General features: G+C 49.8%; 1 long non-coding RNA gene and 2 pseudogenes across 1 annotated transcript, besides 3 other annotated features; 1 reads left to right on the top strand and 2 right to left on the bottom strand.

Annotated features, from left to right (window-relative positions):
- On the bottom strand, positions 914-1,196 carry RN7SL541P (RNA, 7SL, cytoplasmic 541, pseudogene; annotated as a pseudogene).
- Positions 9,257-9,930: an enhancer, noted in NCBI's record as "H3K27ac-H3K4me1 hESC enhancer chr5:133844767-133845440 (GRCh37/hg19 assembly coordinates)". NCBI's record gives its function as "activates a minimal SCP1, AML or CMV promoter by ChIP-STARR-seq in naive H9 embryonic stem cells {active_cell/tissue: H9 hESC(naive)}" and the evidence as "EXISTENCE:reporter gene assay evidence [ECO:0000049][PMID:30033119]".
- Positions 9,776-12,454, bottom strand: LINC01843 (long intergenic non-protein coding RNA 1843). Its single transcript, NR_105045.1, has 2 exons — positions 12,172-12,454; positions 9,776-10,600 (listed from the first exon to the last, which is right to left on the bottom strand). It is a non-coding gene; the product is annotated as a long intergenic non-protein coding RNA 1843 (long non-coding RNA).
- Positions 12,186-12,840: an enhancer, noted in NCBI's record as "H3K27ac-H3K4me1 hESC enhancer chr5:133841857-133842511 (GRCh37/hg19 assembly coordinates)". NCBI's record gives its function as "activates a minimal SCP1, AML or CMV promoter by ChIP-STARR-seq in naive H9 embryonic stem cells {active_cell/tissue: H9 hESC(naive)}" and the evidence as "EXISTENCE:reporter gene assay evidence [ECO:0000049][PMID:30033119]".
- Positions 15,199-15,538: an enhancer, noted in NCBI's record as "active region_23147". NCBI's record gives its function as "activates an Ori minimal core promoter by ATAC-STARR-seq in GM12878 lymphoblastoid cells {active_cell/tissue: GM12878}" and the evidence as "EXISTENCE:reporter gene assay evidence [ECO:0000049][PMID:35858748]".
- RNU6-456P (RNA, U6 small nuclear 456, pseudogene) lies at positions 18,722-18,828 on the top strand (annotated as a pseudogene).

Below are 20,399 nucleotides of genomic sequence, written 5' to 3'. Positions count from 1 at the left end.
GTCATTCATAATGTACATGGCATTGAACCACACTTTGTGAAACACTGAGAACATGTCCACATGGTTCCATGCACTGGCCTGGCGCTCAGTCATTGCTCATTAGACAATAGCTATTTTTCCAGGGGTCCTGGTTCGGAACAAAAATTCTTTTTTTAGTTTTTGTAGAGACAGGGTCTTGCTATGTTGTCCAGGCTGGTCTCGATCTCTTGGGCTCAAGCAACCCTCCCGCCTTGGCCTCCCAGAATGTTGGAATTACAGGAGTGAGCCACTCCACCTGGCTAAAAAAAAAATATATATATATATATATATATATACACACACATATATATGTGTGTGTGTATATATATATATTTTTATATATATACATATATATATATATATATACATATATATATATATATATATATATTTTTTTTTTTTTTTAAGACACAGTTTCACTCTGTTGCCTAGGCTGGAGTGCAGTGGCGCCATCTCGGCTCACTGCAACCTCCCCCTCCTGGGTTCAAGTGATTCCCTTGCCTCAGTCTCCCGACTAGCTGGGATTACAGCTGTGCACCACCACACCCAGCTAATTTTTTTTTTCTTTTTGAGATGGAGCTTCGCCCTTGTTGCCCAGGCTGGAGTGCAGTGGCACGATCTTGGCTCGCTGCAACCTACGCCTCTTGGGTTCAAGTGATTCTCCTGCCTCAGCCGCCCGAGTAGCTGGGATTACAGGCACCCGCAACCACGCCAGGCTAATTTTTTGTATTTTTAGTAGAGACGGGGTTTCACCATGTTGGCCAGGCTGGTCGTGAACGCCTGACCTCAAGTGATCCGCCCGCCTCGGCCTCCCAAAGTGCTGGGATTACAGGCGTGTGCCACTGCGCCCGGACTAAAAATCCTTTCAAATAACTTTCAGTACATGTCCAGATGCAGAAGTACAGCATACCCTAAAAACCCTAAACTGAGAGAATAGTATAAGATTGGTTCAACATTCATTCCCAGGATATTTATTGCCTGCTATGTTCCGACCTGGGTCAGTTCACCCCTCCTTAGGCAACTTCGTGGTCCCCTGCTCCCAGGAGGTCACCATATTGATGCCAAACTTAGTGCAGACACCCAATCCACATAATGAACTACCACACAGAACTCCTGGGCTCAAGCAGTCCTCCCGCCTCAGCCTCCAGAGACTACAGGCACGTGCCACCACACCTGGCACTTGCTATGTTCAAGGCGGTATACAAGGGTTGGAAAGAAACAGAAAATACCTGACTCAACAATTTGAGTCATCAAGGTAGGCAGAAGCCGCAGATGTAGTTAGCCACACTCCCCAGCAGCCCACTTCTGTGCCAGGTGAGAAGTCCTCATTTGGGTTCTAGACTTGTATTCACATACTCACTGCTTAGGGCAATGCTTGTCCGACTACACTATGCACACAAATTACCTGGGATCTTGTTCAGATGCAAAGTCTGATTCATTAAGTCTGGGAGAGCTAAAAGTCTGCATTCTTTTAAATTTATTTTTTATTTATTTTATTTTATTTCAAGCGATTCTCCTGTCTCAGCCTCCCGAGTAGCTGGGATTACATACGCATGCCACCATGCCCAGCTAATTTTTTGTATTTGAGTAGAGACGGGGTTTCACCGTGTTGCCCAGGCTAGTCTCGAACTCCTGAGCTCAGGCAGTCCACCTGCCTCGGCCTCCCAAAGTGCTAGGATTACAGGCGTGAGCCACTGTGCCCGGCCTTTTTTATTTTTATTTATTTATTTATTTTTTGAGACAGGGTCTCACTCTGCTGCCCAGGCTGGAGTGCAATGGTGCAATCACAGCTCACTGCAACCTCGACCCACCTCCTAGGCTCAAGAGATCCTCATGCCTCAGCCTCCCGTGTAGCTAGGACAGCAGGCGTATGCCACCATGCCTGGCTAATTTTTAGAAGTTTTTGTAGAGACAGAGATCTTGCTGTGTTGCCCAGGCTGGTCTTGAACTCCTGGCCTCAAGTGATCCTCCCATTTGGGCCTCCCAAAGTGCTGAGTTTATAGGCGTGAGCCACTGCGCCCAGCCAAGAGTCTGCATTTTAATTATTATTGTTATTATTATTATTATTTTTTGAGACTGAGACTGTCTCTGTCGTCCAGGCTGGAGTGCAGTGGCACGATCTCAGCTCACTACAACCTCCACCTCCCAGATTCAAGTGATTCCCCTGCCTCAGCCTCCCGAGTAGCTGGGATTACAGGCACCCGCCACCACGCCTGGCAATTTTTTTATTTTTATTTTTTAGTAGAGGCGGGGTTTTGCCATGTTGGCCAGGCTTATCTTGAACTCCTGACCTCAGGTGATCTGCATCCCTTGGACTCCCAAAGTGCTGGGATTACAGGCGTGAGCCACTGTGCCCTGCCAAGTCTGCATATTTAACAAGCTTCAAGATGATGCTCATGCTGCTGGTCCACAGATCACACTTGAAATAGAACAGGTTTAGAGATTAGAAAAATTGGGTCACAATACCTGCCCTGTAACCTTAGGGTTCCTGGAGAATTCCTGGGAATCCTAAAGGGAAAGAATGGAGTGGGAAGACTTGCTAATTGCACAGATCCAAGTAAGGTTTGCTCACACTTCCTTCTGTTTCTTCTGTTTCTGTCATCCCATCTTTACCCTGCCACATGTATCCAGTGGGATGAGGTGGCCTCCTCTAAAGGAGGATGAGCATTCATTCAGTAAATATTTCCTATGTGCCTACTATGTGCCAAACTCTGTAGAAAACATATTATTTGGCATTCAGGGAGGACAAAACCAGCAGCTTCTGCCTTCTGGGCTCCAGGCAGAAATTGCAGCTTGGGTTTGGAACAGAGGGAAAATCTGCTCAGGTCTGTGTTCATGGCTGAAGACACTGCCCTGGAAAGATCCAGACTTGGCTCTTCCTGGGGTGCACTACAAACACATGCCTGGGAGAGGCACCCCTCTGGAGCCTTAGCCAGCCAGTTCGGAGACGGTACTGCCCAGTCCCAGGAGATGTCTGGATAATGTGCCAGCCAGGCCACCTGTCCCTCTTAGACTCTCAGATCCAGCCTGGTGGCTACAGATGGCAAAAGGAAATGAAGATCCCTGGGGCCTCCAAACGCTTCCCCGGAAACTGGCAGCAGCCAATAACTCCAGCCAAGTCAAGGGCCAGCCCAACCAGAGTCAAAGTGTGACACGCCCCATTCTGAGCTGAAAGGCCTGGCCCAATCCAAGGACCACCAAGAACTGAAGGTGTTGGCTCTAAGTCAAGTTGAGCAGTATAAGCAAAACCCTTACTTTCACCTTTCCCAGGGTTTCTGATCAATCAAAGCAAATCTCCCCACATCTGATAGTCTTACAAAGACCCTTTCCTTGTATTTACTGATTTATTTTTATTTGTTATTTATTTATTTTTTAGACACGGGGTCTCACTCTGTCACCTAAGCTGGAATGCAGTGGTGCAATCGATCATAGCTCACTGTGGTCTCAAGCTCATCTTGGGCTCAAGTGATCCTCCTGCCTCAGCCTCCTGAGTAGCTGGGACGGCAGGCATGAGCCACCATGTCCAGCTAATTTTTTATTTTTTATAGAGACAGGGTCTCACTATGTTGTTCAGTCTGGTCTTGACCTCCTGGTCTCAAGTGATACTCCTATCTCAGCCTCCCATGGTGCTGAGATTACAGATGTGAGCCACCATACCTGGCCCCATGTATTTACTGATTCACAGTCACCCTGGAGGTAACTTGGCTTATATTAGAAATAGCATTACATTGGGGCAGGGTATGGTGGCTCATGCCTGTAATTCCAACAGGTTGGGAGGCTGAGGCAGGAGGATTGCATGAGCCCAGGTATTCGAGGCTACAGTGAGCTAGAATTGCTCTACTGCACTACAGCCTGGGTTACAGAGCAATACCATGTCTCTAATAATAATAATAATAAAAAGTATGGGGCTGGGTGCGGTGGCTCATGCCTGTAATCTCAGCACTTTGGGAGGCCGAGGTGGGCGGATCACGAGGTCAGGAGATCGAGACCATCCTGGCTAACATGGTGAAACCCCGTCTCTACTAAAAATACAAAAAAATTAGCCAGGCGTGGTGGCGGGCGCCTGTAGTCCCAGCTACTTGGGAGGCTGAGGCAGGAGAATGGCGTGAACCCGGAAGGCAGAGTTTGCAGTGAGTCGAGATCGCACTGGGCGACAGAGCAAGACTCCCTCTCCAAAAAAAAAAAAAAAAAAGTAGCATACATTTACAAACACACCATGAAGGCTCTACGCTAAGGCAGTGAGCCTCAGATCCAGATCTCCCTTCACTGGATTTAAGCCCATTTAGGAAGACAGGTCCTTAAGCATATGCAGGATGGTCAAGGTACAACAAGCCATCTGAGGATCCTGAAGGTTGAAATGGGCAAGAGAGTTTCTTGAGAAAGGCCTGGAGGTGGACCTGCATAGTGACGGTGATTCATATGAGATGGGGTTGGGGGTAGGGGAGAAGTGGAGGTGGGAAGATACAGGGGAAGTCAAAGTCAGACAGATGGATGGTGTCTGCCTGGTTTATAGCATGCAGTGGGGTATGGAGCATGATGCTAACCCCTGGGGGCTCCTTCTGAGGAGGGAACTGCCCTTTGTTCCAGAAACTACATTTGTGAGCTGCTTGAAGTGAAGGTGAGACCCTGCAGTTGCCTCACATTGGAAGGAGATGAGAGCGTGCAGCTCTAAATCCAGGAACCCTCCCCCACCCCCCGCTGTGAGACCCTCTGATGTGGGCACAAGGATGGCAGTTTAAGAATAGCCATTACAGCATTGTTTGTAACAGTGAAAATGTGGAAACAGACTGAATGTCCATTCACTGAAGGACTAACTAAATAATGCACAGTGCAAATAGAACAAAGCAGCCAGCTGGGCGTGGTGGCTCACGCCTGTAATCCCAGCATTTAGGAGGCTGAGGTGGATGGATCGCCTGCGCCCAGGAGTTTGAGACCAGCCTGGGCAACGTAATGAAACCCTGGCTCTATAAAAAAATACAAAAAATTAGGCCAGGGGCGGTGGCTCATGCCTGTAATCCCAGCACTTTGGGAGGCCGAGGTGGGCGGATCACCTGAGGTCAGGAGTTCAAGACCAGCCTGACCAACATGGTGAAACCCCGTCTCTACTAAAAATACAAAATTAGCTGGGCATGGTGGCACATGCCTGTAATCCCAGCTACTTGGGAGGCTGAGGCAGGAGAATTGCTTGAACCCGGGAGGCGGAGGTTGCAGTGAGCCAAGATTGCGCCATTGCACTCCAGCCTGGGCAAGAAGAGCGAAACCCCACCTCAAAAAAAAAACAAAAAAATTATCTGGGCGTGGTGGTGTGCACCTGCAGTCTTAGCTACTTGGGAGGCTGAAGTGGGAGGATTACTTGAGCCCAAGACTGCAGTGAGCCGTGACTGCACCACTACACTCTGGCTTGAGCAATAGAGTGAGACCCTGTCTCAAAAAAAAAAAAAAAAAAAAAAGAAAGAGAGAGAGAAAGAAAGAAAAGAAAAACGAACAAGATAGCCAAAGAAGTGGCATTGTGCAGTTTTGTATACCTGGTGTAAAAAGAACCTTAAGAAAAGTGTTGGCTGGGCGCGGTGGCTCACACCTGTAATTCCAGCACTTTGGGAGGCATAGGCAGGCGGATCACGAGGTCAGGAGATCGAGACCATCCTGGCTAACATGGTGAAACCCCGTTTCTACTAAAAACACGAAAAATTAGCCGGGCGTTGTGGCGGGCGCCTGTGGTCCCAGCTACTCGGGAGGCTGAGGCAGAAGAATGGTGTGAACCTGGGAGGCGAAGATTGCAGTGAGCCGAGATCGGGCCACTGCATTCCAGCCTGGGCGACAGAGCCAGACTCTGTCTCAAAAAAAAAAAAAAAAAAAAAAAGAGAAGTGTTAAGTGACAGACAACTTTCAGGGTAATATGTGCAGTATGATCCCACTCATAGTAAAAAAAAAAAAAAAAGCAAACAAAACAAACAAAAAAAAAACCCTACAAAATGAAAGTTTACATTTTTCTCTGAACACACACAGAGACACAAACATGTGCATTTTTGTACGGGAAAAAAAGGTCTGGAAATGTATGTACCGAATTCATGAATTTGCTTGTACTGGAGTATGTAGGGAGCAAGACTGGGAAGGGGGGAAGGGCAGGGGCAGGAGCTGTGGAGATGGAGGGGAGGAGTCGACCTTGGGGTTACTGGGGGAACCCAAGAAGCCCTCTGCATTTGGGCAGTGCTGGTTGCCCCGCAGGTGCTTGGAATCCACCCAGGGACAGAAACATCATTGGTGTGGCAAGGACACGCTTCTCCTGGTAGGAAGGGGCAAGAAACCTGCCCTCTAGGCTAGCCTCAGGGCTGCCCTCTGTGTGGCCTGGGGCCTGTTTGGCTCTCTCTGGGCCCCAGGATTAGGGTCTCTCTGGGCTGTTTCAGCTGGACCAGTCTCAGATCCTAAATGCATTCTAGAGCCTTCTCATGGACGTTGGGCTCCAGCAGGGGCACAGAAAAGCCTCACTAGGCCTTTGGCCTGCTGAGACTTGGGTGGGCAGCCTGGGGCTGGAAGCTGTGTGGGAAGAAAGTTTCTGAGCGGCATGGCCTCCAGGAGGTGCTCCCTCCTCCAGCAGGTGGAGTGCCCTTTCTTCCCAACAAATTCAATCTGAGAATACCTGGCCCAGCCTGGCTCCTGAGACAGCAGAGTGGGGACAATTCATTACCTGGTGGAGTCTAAACAGTTCATGAGAACTCACTGAGTTGGGGCTCTGGGCTGGCCTCAAGGGAAGCGGAGATTGCCTGAGGCCAGGGCTTGGGCTCTAGGCCTGCAGGGAAGCTGGTGCGAGCTGTGCTCAGGGACAGATCTGTGCTGCAGACGCAGTAGCTCTGAGCCAAGAACTGGGCCGGCTTCAGGCTACAGAGATGTGTTACATCAGGATGGGGGAGGGGCAGACACCAGATTCTAACAGGGTCAAGTATGTGGACAGATCAAGGCTTAGAGTGGGGTGAGAAGCAGCAAGGCCAGCTGGCCCTGAGATGCCTCACCCTAGTCAAAGCTTCATTAACGGTGTCCTGGCCTTGATCTGCCTCCCACTGCTGGGAGTGTCTCCAGTGTACAAGGTGGCTGCCTTGGGAGCCTCCTTCAGGCACTAGTGAGCAAGCTGTTCTTCCCTCAGGGCCTTGGGCACAGTGACTTGTGAGGCTGGGGTGGCCCTGGGTACTGTGATTGCTGGATATTCTAGGACCTGTGGCTCTGGCACACAGTGAGCTGTCTCCAAATATGCTGGACCTCCATCCCGTGTGCTAGGGAAGAGACTTGGACACAAATTGGCACTGGATGCCCATGTGAAGGAGACGCTTGGAAACAAGAAATTCTTGTTGAGTTGATCCCCAGCTAGGCCAGCTCTAGGCAGATTATCTACCTAACACAGCTCCTCTAGGAGAGTGCTACAGAAAAAAGAAACCTATGTTATCTGGCATCCGGGTTGGGCAGGAGAGGCAGATTCCTGGGGGGGCAAAGAGGCTGCCCTAGAGAGCGTCTACCACTGGACATCTAGCTCCCTTGCCTCCCTGATCCTCAACTGCCCTCGGAGCTCAAGGAAAGGCAAGCAGCTCCTAGGTGTCCAGTCCTCTGGCTGATCAGACTAGGAGGGCACACCTAAGGAGAAGCAGACACCATCTTTGCCCCAGAAGACCTCACAGCCCAGGTGGGGAGGTGAGATTCCTAGGCTGGAAACAAGATGAGGTAGGACATGACTCAGTGCTGAAGTATTTGCTTTGGCCCTTTGTGTGAGTGAGGGGCGGAGGAAGCCAGGAAGGAGCTGCTAGTGTGGGGGCAGAAGGAAGAGAGAAGGTGCATTTGTGTGTACCCATATGCGTGTGTGTGTGTGTGTGTGTGTGTGTGTATGTGTGGTGTGTCGTGTGTCTGCATGTGTCACATCTGAGGTCATATCTCTGGATTCCCCCCACCTTCTGTGCTATTTGCCCAGACAACCTAAAAATAATTTCCATTTAACTTTAGGATTCGTTATTTGATGCACTAGATGCTTGCCCAGCAGATATACTTTTCCACCCACACTTTATGTAAGATCAACATCAAGTTAAAATGAGTCTGCATTATTTATGCATATACAAGGAGGCTAGTAGGCAAAAGGCAGACTAGAGCAGCCTGGATTTCACTGGAAAGTTTATATAAAAATGGTCCCTGGACAGGGCCAGTGGCTCATGCCTATAATCCTAACACTTCGGGAGGCTAAGGGAGGAGGATTGCTTGAGTCTAGGTGTTTGAGACCAGCGTGGGCAACATAGTGAGACCTTGTCTCTTAAAAAATACAAAAATTAGCTGGGCATGGTGGCACTTGCTTGTAGTCCTAGATACTCTGGAGGCTGAGGTGGGAGGATTGCTTAAGCCTGGGAGATTGAGGCTGCAGTGAGCTGTGATCACACCACTGCCCTCCAGCCTGTGTGACAGAGCAAGAGCCCTATCTCAAAAAAAAAAAAAAAAGATTCCAAGGTGGATGACAAAATTGGACAGTGTGCCTGGATTGGTGATCACAGCATTGTTGGGGATAATGATAAAATGAAAAAGGACCCTCTATGGCTACTGGGAGTGTCAGCCCCTTATTTCACCCACACATGACATAGCAATGGGCACGTGGCCAGCACTCAGTGGATATTTACTGAACTCATATCTATCGATCTTTTCAATAGACATTGAGAAAAAATGTCCACATCTGTACAACATCTGCAAAGATGGAGGTAGATGATTGATAATTCATCATGGACAGAGGACAACTAAATGATAGATTGAGTTTAACGTTTAGTTTGTTAGACAGATGGCTAAGGGGTGATGCTGTTATCAGAGTAAAAGATCAAAGCCACTGAGGAATGATAGATTGATAAATAACTTATTGAAGCTTGATAAAGGGGTAGGAAGAGAAATAAATTGTGGTCAATAGATCCATGGTCAGGTTCAAATAAATAGGTAGATAGGTAAACAGAAATGTAGCGATAGAGCAAGAGAGACAGACAAGAGGGTGAGAGAGATACTGCGGTAGACACAATAATGCCCATCCCTAAAGATGTCTGCGCTGCACTCCCCAGAGCCTGTGAATACGTTCCCCGACATGGCAGAAGGCACTTTGCAGATATGATTAAATTAAGGGCCTTGAGAGGGAGGGATTATCCTGGATTGTCTAGTGGGCCCCGTCTAATCGCATGTCCTATCACTGACCTCTCTTTCACTGTGCTGCAGCCTCCCCTGTGCTCTTTTCAGTTCTTGATCATGCCAAGCTCGTTCCTGCCTCAGGGCCTTTGTACTCGCTGTTGTCTTTGTCTGCTCCTTTTCGTCACTCAAATCTCACTCAGTTCGCCTCCTTGCTTCTAGATTTTTGTCCTGAAACCTTGAGTACACTCTGTTCCTGGGGACTGGGTTGGGGTAATGGGATGTCCAAGCTCCTTGCCTATGCTGGCTGGCACTGTCCCCAGCCCCAAGTCCTGCCCAAGGTTGTGGAATGGAGCAGTGTGCATGAGTCATCAAGCCACAGACACAGTCCCCTTGTTGGAGGGACCTGAGCAATTACGTTGTGGCTAACTCCAAGGGCTAATGGCTCAATTGAAAGGGAAGGTTAGGAATTTCCCCAAGTTCCTCAGACTCATATGGCACCAAGAGGGAACTGGAGAGTGGCGGAGCTGGGAATGGTCTGTGTGGAAGATGCTGTGACCTCTCTGAGCACTGTCATGTCCCTAGCCTGAGCTGAGCCAGGCTGTGAAGAAGTAGATGGCACATCCCAGTCTCACAGGGGCCCATCACCCTTCGAGCATTCCTTTATTTACCCCACATCTAAGGAGCCCCTATTCTGTACCAGGCATCATGCTGCCCTAGCACAGGTTAGGCCTGCCCTGAAGGAGCCTTCAGTCTAGCCAGGGAGATAGGCTGGCCAGCAAAACTTACAGGTCTGCTGAATAAGTGTCCAGAACTGGGGACACACAGAGGGGGAGCCCGAGCAGGTGATGGGGCTCGAAGGCAGTGAGAGACCAGCTGGAGGGATGAGAGAAGGGCACACTGGGCAGCAGGAGCAGCCTGGCTGGGTCAGGTTCCTGGGCTGCTGTAACAAAGTGCCACAGGCAGGGTGGCTTACAGCAGCAGACACTTATTCCCGCTGTTCCGGAAAATAGACATCCCAAATTGAGGTGCTGCTAAAGCCATGCTCCCTCCAAGGCCTTTAGTGGGGGATCCTGCCTTGCCTCTTCCAGCTTCTGGCAGCCCCCGGCATTCCTTGCCTTTCGGATGCATAACTCTGGTCTCTGCCTTCATTTTCACCTGGCTGTCTTCCCTATAGTGTCTTGCTCTGTGGTCCAGGCTCAACTCCGCTGGCATGACCATGGCTTACTGCAGCTTCGACCTTCTGGGCTCAAGTTGATCCTCCTGCCTCAGTCTCCCAAAGAGCTGGGACTACAGGCACAGGCCACCATGCCCAGCTAATTTTTAAAAATTTTTTTGTGGAGACCGGGTCTGGCTATATTGCCCAGGCTGGTGATGAACTCCTGGGCTCAAGCAATCCTCGTGCCTCAGCCTCCCAAAGTGCTGGGATTATAGGTGTGAGCCACTGCACTTGGCCCTGTTTTTAAAAAAGTAAAAATAAAAATAAAAATGTTTTATTGCTGCATAATAGTTGTACCTATTTTGGGGGTACGGGTTATATTTGGACACATGTATACAATGTATAAAACCAAATCAAGATAGTTGGGATACCCATCACCTCAACAACTTTCCCTCTTCTAAGGACACCAGCCATACCAGAGTGGGGCCCACTCTAATGACCTTATTTTAACACTATTAAATCTGCAAAGACCCTGTTTCCAAATACAGTCACCTTTACAGGTACAGGAGGTTAGGATTTCAATGTATATTTTTGTTTTGTTTTGTTTTTGGTTTTTTTTTTGAGACGGAGTTTTGCTCTTGTTGCCCAGGCTGGAGCACAATGGCACGATCTCGGCTCATCGCAACCTCTGCCTCCTGGGTTCAAGCGATTCTCCTGCCTCAGCCACCCGATGAGCTGGGATTACAGGCATGCGCCAGCACGCCCAGCTAATTTTGTATTTTTAGTAGAGACGGGGTTTCTCCATGTTGGTCAGGCTGGTTTCGAACTCCCAACCTCAGGTGATCCACCTGCCTTGGCCTCCCAAAGTGCTGGGATTATAGGCGTGAGTCACCGTGCCCAGCCCAATGTATATCTTTGTTGTGCATGGCATGGAGACACAATTCAACCATAAGCATGGGCAAAGGCTTGGAAGGGTATGGAGCTCAGGGCAGAGCTCTCCACCGTTTGCCACCTCATTACCCACAGCCTTTTTACACATTTCCCCTGGTGACTCACCAGTCCTTACACCTGCCCGGCATGCTCGCACCTCCAGACTCTTGCTCCCATAGCCCCCGTGTCTGTCTCAACTGCTTTCTTTCTCAATTACCAGGCCCACCTCTTCAGGGAGCTCTCTCTGACTTGGAAGTGCCAGTCCCTTCCTCTGTTTTTTTTTTCTTTTTTCTTTTTTGAGACAGGGTCTCTTTCTGTTACTCAGGCTGGAGTGCACTGGAGTGATCATGGCTCATTCCAGCCTCAACCTCCTGGGCGCAAGCAATCCTCCCGCCTCAGCCTCCCAAAGTGTTAAGATTACAGGTGCAAGCCACCACACCAGGCCTCTTTCTCTGATTTCTGAGACTTTCACAGTCTGAGGGTTCATTTAGTCTACAGTGCCCAGGTAGGCATCTTTTTACCTGCCCCCTTCAGCTTCCTCCCTTCTCCATGCCAAGCCCAGGATCAGGGAACAAGAGACCTTGAGTCCAGCCGGATGCCATGGCTCACGACTGTAATCCCAGCACCTTGGGAAGCTGAAGTGGGTGGATTGCTTGAGCTCAGTTCAAGCCCAAGAGACCTTGAGTCCAGCCTCTCAGCCATTTCCAAATTTCCTCTGCACCCTCCCTGCCCAAGTTTCTCACCTGTGCTTGGATGTCCCCATGACCAGGGCATCTGGGCCACACTGTGTCTCCCAGGAGCTCCCTCCCACTGCTTGGAGCCCCATGGAGTCCACTTGGCTTCCCAGTAACCATGGCTGCAGTGGAGCATGACCCACACCTGAGGCCATCTGAGGGACTTGCAAATGGCTCCCTAGCCCAGGGGTCTCTTTTACCCACCTGCCACATGCCAGAAATTCCACCATTAGCAAGTCTGACAGCATCCACCCCTGATAAGGACAGACGCCCCAAGGAGAGACTCTGCCGCGAGTCGCTGGGCCAGTACTTGCTGCCAAGAGCCTGACAGCCTGTTGCTTGGTGACATCTCACTCAAGTCCTTCAGGAAACTTGCACCCCAAAGGCAGGAGGGGGCTGAAGGAGATGGGGCTCCTCTGCAGAGCTTTGTCCAGAGGCAGCAGGCTGAGAGGTGGGGGGGGGAATCTAAGGCAGCCCAATGACCCCACCCTGCCCAGGGGAGAGGCTCTCAGGCCCCACAAGCTCAGCCTCTTCCTGTCTCCCCACACCCCCTTTATTCCTGCACCTCCCTGGCTGGAGAACCGCCCCCTGCACACACTCCCAGCGGCTGGGCAGTTAGTGACCTTTGGACTGGGAAAGCACTGGAGCCTCCTGGGCCCCACACCCTGGCTGGCATTCACCGGGAGCAGGGAGAGTCCCAGAACTGTCACTCTCAGGCAGGCCCAGTCCCTGGTGTCCTCAAGTAGCCAGTCCTGTTCTCCCCTTTCTTCCATGGGGAGGAGCTGGGCACAGGGAAGAGGGCTGGGCCAGTCCTGGCCGGAGGCACTGTGCTGCCACTTGCCCTCAGCCCCACAGGTGCCCCTGGAGTCTGTGCAGAGGCCCGGGGCAGAAGCCCTGGGGGTGCTCCTACTTTCCTGCCAGAGGGGCTGGAGGATAGGATGAGGAAGTGTGCTCAGTGCAAGACCCCGAGAGTCCCAACAAGACTCATTTAGGAGGGTGAGCTAGCCCTGTCTAATAAGGAACTATTTCAGGTTTGCAGTAATCAAGTCTAGCTTGAGGCTGTCCCAAATAGTCAGATAATGGAAGCCAAATGTCTGCAACCATGATTTGGCTCCTGGGCCTAGCTGTTCAGTGCAGACCCAGTGAGGGGCCTCAGCCCTGCACCCAGCTTCCAGGCCCCCACCTCTACCTCAAGATATCAGTGCAGGCCCAGTCCTAGTAGGTCCTCTGGCTAATGAAGCCTCCTGGAGCCCATAGCCCTACCAATTCCAGTTAGAGCCCACATAGCAGACAGAACAAGATGCTTTTTTTTTTTTTTTAAATGGAGTTTCCCTCTGTTTCCCAGGCTGGAGTGCCATGGTGCGATCTCGGCTCACTGCAACCTCCGCCTCCTGGGTTCAGGTGATTCTCCTGCCTCAGCCTCCCAAGTAGCTGGGATTACAGGTGCCTGCCACCACACCTGGCTAATTTTTTTTTTTTTTAGTAGAGACGAGGTTTCACTGTGTTGGCCAGGGTGGTTTCGAACTCCTGACCTCAAGTGATCCACCTGCCTCAGCCTCCCAAAGTGCTGGGATTACAGGCGTGAGCCACCGTGCCCAGCACAAGATGCTTTTCTTTTCTTTTCTTTTTCTTTTTTTCTTTTTTTAAGACTATGTCTCGCACTGTCACCCAGGCTGGAATGCAGTGGCACGATCTCGGCTCACTGCAACCTCTGCCTCCCAAGTTCAAGCGATTCTCCTGCCTCAGCCCCCAAAGTAGCTGGGATTACAAGCACATGCCACCACACCCGGCTAGTTTTTTGTATTTTTAGTAGAAAAGGGGTTTCACTCTGTTGGCCAGGCTTGTCTCACTCCTGACCTCGTGATCCGCCCGCCTCGGCTTCCCAAAGTGCTGCTGGGATTTCAGGCGTGAGCCACCGTGCCCAGCCTACAAGATGCTTTTTAAATTAAGGGCTTCATGAAGAATTTCGTGGTTCCCCAGAAAGTGTAAGGAATGTTTAGGGTTTGGCTAAGCCTGGCTTTGAACCTGATGCTAATAGGGGAGAAGGCATCTTTAGACCTGACCTGAATCCAAGTCAGGGGTCCAGTCAGTTGCCTGGCACAGCTGGGTTGGTCTCTTTTCTCAGAGACATCTATCGGCTGTGTTACTGAGGACAGCAAGTTGAGGGTTGCCCCCACCCCAGGAGCACAGCCCATCACTGGCCCTATTGGCCCTTCATAGGCGTGGTCCTCTGCTAAGGATGGTTAAATTCTGCCAAGCTCCCATCGTCCCCCCCGTCAAAGGGGAAGAGGGACATTATGCATGGTGCAGCATGGGGCTTGTGGTCCTCTGTCTGAACCTTGAGCATGGCACCCATGCTGGGTTGGGGAGGTACATACAGAGACACCCAGGGGCATCCTTGGAGAAGGGCTGTCTTTGCTCGGAAAGTAAATGCTCATTTCTGCTCTGTAGCAAAATCCTGCTATGTATCCAATTTCCTCCTCAAGCCCTCGACAGATTTTCCAAATGGTCTCGAGGGGTTCAGCATTCAGACTGTAGGTAGTCTGGGCTTTGCTGGGCTTAGGGACTGTGTCCTCATGATCCCTGGTCTGGGAACATGGTCTCCAAGCCTAGCAAACCCCAGACTTCTTAGTATTCTCTGGATGTCCCTATGCAGCACCAGGAAGAAAGAACAATTTCTCCCCCGACCCTACTCTAGACTTCTCTGCCAGTCTCATCCCTCCCTTGCTACCTGTGGGCTTCCTGAGCCCTCAACCCTCAAAGCCACAGTCTAACACAGTTAGAGTTAATGCCAACTGCACCTCATGGTAGCTGTGTGACCTTGGGCAAGGTACTTATCCTCTCTGGGCTCCATTTGCCTTCCCCATAAAATGAAAATGATGATAATCCTTAACTGAAAGAGTCATTGTGAGGATCAGATGAGATCATTGAAAGGCTGGCACGTCGTCAGTGCTTAATAAACAACAGGTGGTATGGTTATCATTGTCATCTGTGGATAACTGTCTTTAACCTGGACCTCCTTTTCTGCCCCTCTCCTCCATCTCCCTAAATCCAGACTTGTCACCTTCCTAAAGCCCCTGTGGCCAGAACTGGGGTGGCTGGTCAGGTCCTTCTCCCAGGCAGGCAGGAGGCAGGGAAGTGTGTCTGAGCAGCCTGCATCCCTGGTAGAAAAGATAAAACGGGTCTTCGGAAGCCGGGGTGCTCCCACTTTGGTCATCATTCATACTCCTAATTTAAGAGGATTTCAAGAATCAGCATTTCTGTGGTAGAAGCCAAAGCCAAAATACAGAGAGCGCGAGAGAGTCATTGAAGGCCACAAAGCAAGTCCAGGCCAGAGCAGGGTGAGAGTCTTGGTCAACCTAACATCCAGCGCTCCTCCCCATCTGACTCAACAGCTCTCATTTCTCTAGAAGCCTCATTCTGAAGCTTTCCTGTTCAGAGAAAGCAGCAAACAAAGCGCAGAGCCAGCCCCCTGGGCCTGGAGCCCTGAGCTCCCTGGGCAGACCCACAGGCTGACAGAGACGTTACCGGAGTTGATGATTCAACTTCCTGCCTTTTGAGAGCTCCCAGACCACAGAGGTTTTCCTGCATGGAGGAGGGGGCATCTCCTTGCAGAGGGCCAGCCCCAATGGGACAAGGCCCTACCACAAACCACAAGGACAAGGCAATGCCTGGAGGGGGCCCTGGGGGCCACACCTGAACCCTGGCCAGCTGGCTCCTGAAGCCTGGCCCTCTCTGGGTTAATGATTACTACCTAGGGTGACCAACTGTTCTGTCCTGGTTTGCCTGGGACTGTACTGGTTTTAGCACCAAAAAATCTAAAGCCTAGGAAACCCCCATTCCTGAGCAAACCAAACAGTTCGCCATTCATACCACCCGTATGGTAGGACAGGACTTACAGCCTCAGTGATTATGGGGAATCTGAGCCCCAGGATGGCACATTCTACAACAGAGAATTGGCCAACTGTGGCCTGAAGGCCAATTCTGGCCCACTACCCATTTTTGTATAGCCCATGAGCTAAGAATAGTTCTTACTTTTTTTTTTTTGAGACGGAGTCTCACTCTATTGCCCAGGTTGGAATGCAGTGGCACAATCTCGGCTCACTGCAGCCTCCGCCTCCCGGGTTCAAGCGATTCTTCTGCCTCAGCCTCCCGAGTAGCTGGGATTACAGGCATGGACCAAAATGCCTGGCTAATTTTTGTATTTTTAGTAGAGACAGGATTTCACCATGTTGGCCAGGCTGGTCTCAAACTCCTGACCTCAAGTGATCCGCCTGCCTCGGCCTCCCAAAATGTTGAGATTACAGGTGTGAGCCACCGCGCTCAGCCAGATATGTAAAAATTATGTGAAATTCAAATTTCAGCGTCCATAAATAAAGGAATACAGCCACACCTGTTCATTTACATGTTTCCTCTGGCAGCTTTCACATTATAAGGCAGAGTTGAGGAGCTGCAGCAGAGAATCTATGGGCCTATGGACTTCAAAGCCAAAAAGATCTACCATCTGACCCTTTACAGAAACAGTTTGCTGACCCCTATTCTAGAGGCATGCAAAGGGTGGGTGGGTGTGAGTAGGCAGTGATGCTTTTGTGAAGAAACTCAGGACTGGGGAAGGAGAGGGAGATTAGAGGAGTGGGCGTGATAGCACAGCACTTATCCAAGATTCAGCAGATTAGCTGTGAGGCAGGGACTAGGCACCTATGCCTTCTAAGACTCAGTTTGCCATCTGTACGTGGGGAGAAGGCAGGGCAATAGGAAGGTATGTGCTTCTCTCTGACTTCATGGACTAGTTTTTCAAGCTGCCACTGTCCTCTCCAAGAACTCAGCCACCACCAGGGACTTCTGTGTGGCCTAGGGCAGGTCCTGCCTTCTCTGGGCCTAACCTTGAGGCCTCTCCACCCTACAGAGTAGGTTCTTACCTGGCTTTAAGGCAGACCCAGGACCGGACACTTCATTCCATCTAGACTTTCAACAAGGGTGTGGAAGTACCTACTGTGTACAAGGCACTCTTAGGGCCCTCTGGCATTGAATGGTCCAGTGAATACCTCTTTGCCTTTCATCCAGACATTTGGGTGAGGAGCTCTCCTCCCTGAGACATGGTGCAGGTGGGGCCATTAACTCCTGCCTTCCCACCCCCACTCAGGTGAACATCACTGGAAACTTCTCAAGTGCCAAGCCATGCCCTGAGGGTTGCTGAGCTTGGCCAGCAGGAAGCTGACAATCTGGGAGAGCTCAAACAATGTAGAAAGACACTGGTGAAACTGGGATCCAATGCCCAGCCTAAAGTGGGCCCAATTCAGCTCCTCCACCCACCCCTGCCTACAGCCTACAATAAGATGCTCTCTCCTTTTTATTCTAGAGGGCTAAGGAAGGGGTTTATCTGAGCAGATCAAGGTTCTCGGAAGGCTTGTGGGGAGCCAACCTCAGCTCAACATAGACAGTGGTCTCTTTGGTCCGCTCAGGCAGGGCTAGAGCCATCCCTTTGCAGAGCTTCTGTGTGCCCAGTGACACTCTCAGCCCCTCCTGGGGACACTCATCCTACTAAGCCACCTCCCTCTTTTCCTCTGTCCCCACAGCTCTGGTTGCTGACATCAGGTTTTAGGACTTTGGAAAACCTAGTAACTAAGGATCAGCAGAAGATACCACCGAAAGAGATGCTCAGTTTCCAAGCTCTCCCTGGAATTCTCTCATGCAGTAGCGTCAGCAGGTTTAGCTATTTACTTATTTAATTATTTATTTATTAGACCGAGTCTCGCTCTGTCACGCAGGCTGGAGTGCAATGGTGTCATCTCGGCTCACTGCAGCCTCCGCTTCCCAGGTTCAAGCAATTCTCCCGCCTCAGGCTCCTGAATAGCTGGGATTACAGGCAACCGCCATGATGCCCGACTAATTTTTTTCTATTTTTAGTAGAGACAGAGTTACACCATGTTGGCCAGGCTGGTCTCAAACTCCTGACCTCAGGTGATCCGCCCACTTGGCCTCTCAAAGTGCTGTGATTACAGACGTAAGCCACCAAGCCTGGCCGCTATTTATTTTCTTAAGTAAACTTTTGTGTTGAAGTATAATATACAGTCATGTGCTGCACAATGATGTTGCAGTCAACAACAGACCAGATTATAATGGAATTGAAAAATTTATATTGTCTAGTGACATCATAGCTGTGGTAATGTCATAGTGCCACACATTACTCACATAGTTGTAGTCATGCTGGTCTAAACAAACCTACTACACTGCAGTCGTGTAAAAGTATAGCACATACAATCATGTACGGTACATAATACTTGATAATAAGCGACTACGTGACTGGTTTATGTATTTGCTATACCATACTTTTTATCATTATTTTAGAGTATACTCCTACTTACTAAAAAAGTTAATTGTCCAGGCGCGGAGGCTCACGCCTGTAATCCCAGCACTTCGGGAGGCCGAGGCGGGAGGATCACGAGGTCAGGAGCTCGAGACCAGCTGGACCAACATGGTGAAACCTTGTCTCTACTAAAAATACAAAAATTAGCCAGGCGTGGTGGCACGTGCCTGTAATCCCAGCTACTCAGGAGGCTGAGGCAGGAGAATCGCTTGAACCCAGGAGGCGGAGGTTGCAGTGGGCCAAGATCTCACTGTTGCACTCCAGCCTGGGTGACAGGGCGAGACTCCGCCTCAAAAAAAAAAAAGAAAAGGGAAAGGAAAATATTTTTGCACAGCTGTACAATGTGTGTTTTAAGATAAGTGTTTTTACAAAAGTCAAAAAATTAAAGTGCTTACTTCAGCCGCACATATACTAAAATTGGAGCAATACAGAGAAAATTAGCATGGACGCTGTGCAAGGTTGACACGCAAATTCATGAAGCATTCCATATTTTTCTAAATGCCCATCAGTGATAGACTGGATAAAGAAAATGTGGTACATATATACCATGGAATACTATGCAGCCATAAAAAGGAACAAGATCATGTCCTTTGCAGGGGCATGGATGGAATTGGAAGCCATTATCCTCAGCAAACTAACGCAGGAACAGAAAACCAAACACTGCATGTTCTCACTTACAAGTGGGAGCTGAATGATGAGAACACATGGACATATGGAGCGGGGAACAACACACACTGGGGCCTGTCGGGGGATGGTGGAGGGAGGGAGAGCATTAGGAAGAATAGCTAGTGGATGCTGGGCTTAATACCCAGGTGATGGGAAGATCTGTGCAGCAAACCACCATGGCACACATTTACCTATGTAGCAAACCTGCACGCCCTGCTACGCCCGAACTTACAATTAAGTTGAAGAAGAAAAAAAAAGTTGAAACAGAATTTAAAAGGTTACAGTAAGCTAAAATTAATTTATTATTGAAGAAAGAAAATATGTTTTTCGAGACAGGGTCTCGCTCTGCTGTCTAGGCTGGCACAGTCATTGCTCACTGCAGCCTCAAACTCCTGGGCTCAAGCAATCATCCCACCTCACACTCCCACCTCAGCCTCCCAGGTAGCTGAGCATACTGAGCTATTATTTTTTATTTTTTGTAGTGACAGGGTCTCTCTATGTTTCCCAGGCTGGTCTTGAACTCCTGGCCTCAAGTGATCCTCCCATCTGGATCTCCCAAAGTGCTGGGATTTACAGATGTGAGTCACTGCGCCCAGCCTGAAAGAAAAATTTATTTTATTTTTATTTTTTATGGAGTATGTGGATTTTGTTTGTTTGTTTTTGATACAGGGTCTCACTTTGTTGCCCAGGCTGGGGTGCAGTGGTGTGATCACAGCTCGCTGCAGCCTCAACCTCCCAGGCTCAATCCTCCCACCTCCCAGCAGTCCTCCCACCTCAGCCTCCTGAGTAGCTGGGACTACAGGCACGCACCACCAGGCCTGACTAATTTTGGTATTTTTTGTAGAGACAGGGTTTTGCTATGTTGCCCACACTGATCTCAAACTCCCAGGGTCAAGCAGTCCTCCTGCCTCAGCCTCCTAAAGTGCTAGGATTACATAGTAAGCCACCACACTTAGCCTAAGAAAAAAATTTTAAATAAATTTAGTGTAGCCTAAGTGTACAGTGTTTATAAAGTCTATGGTAGTGTACAGCAATGTCCTAGGCCTTCACACTCACTCACTGTTCACTCACCCAGAGCAACCTGCAGTCCTGCAAGCTGCATTCATGATGAGTGCCCTAAATCTTTTACACTTTTTTTTTTGGAGACAGAATCTCACTCTGTCACCCAGGCTGGAGTGCAATGGCATGATCTTGGCTCACTGCAACCTCCGCCTCCCGGGTTCAAGCAATTCTCCTGCCTCAGCCTCCCAAGTAGCTGGGATTACAGGCACCCGCCATCATGCCCAGCTAATTTTTGTATTTTTGTAGAGACAGAGTTTCACCGTATTGGCCAGGCTGGTCTTGAACTCCTGACCTTAGGTTATCCACCCACCTTGGCCTCACCCTCCCAAAGTGCTGG

The sequence above is a fragment of the Homo sapiens genome, chromosome 5, assembly GCF_000001405.40.
Source record: "Homo sapiens chromosome 5, GRCh38.p14 Primary Assembly".
Lineage (NCBI taxonomy): Eukaryota > Metazoa > Chordata > Mammalia > Primates > Hominidae > Homo > Homo sapiens.
Note: the sequence above shows the minus strand (reverse complement) of the source record. Positions and strands in the feature narration are given on the sequence as shown.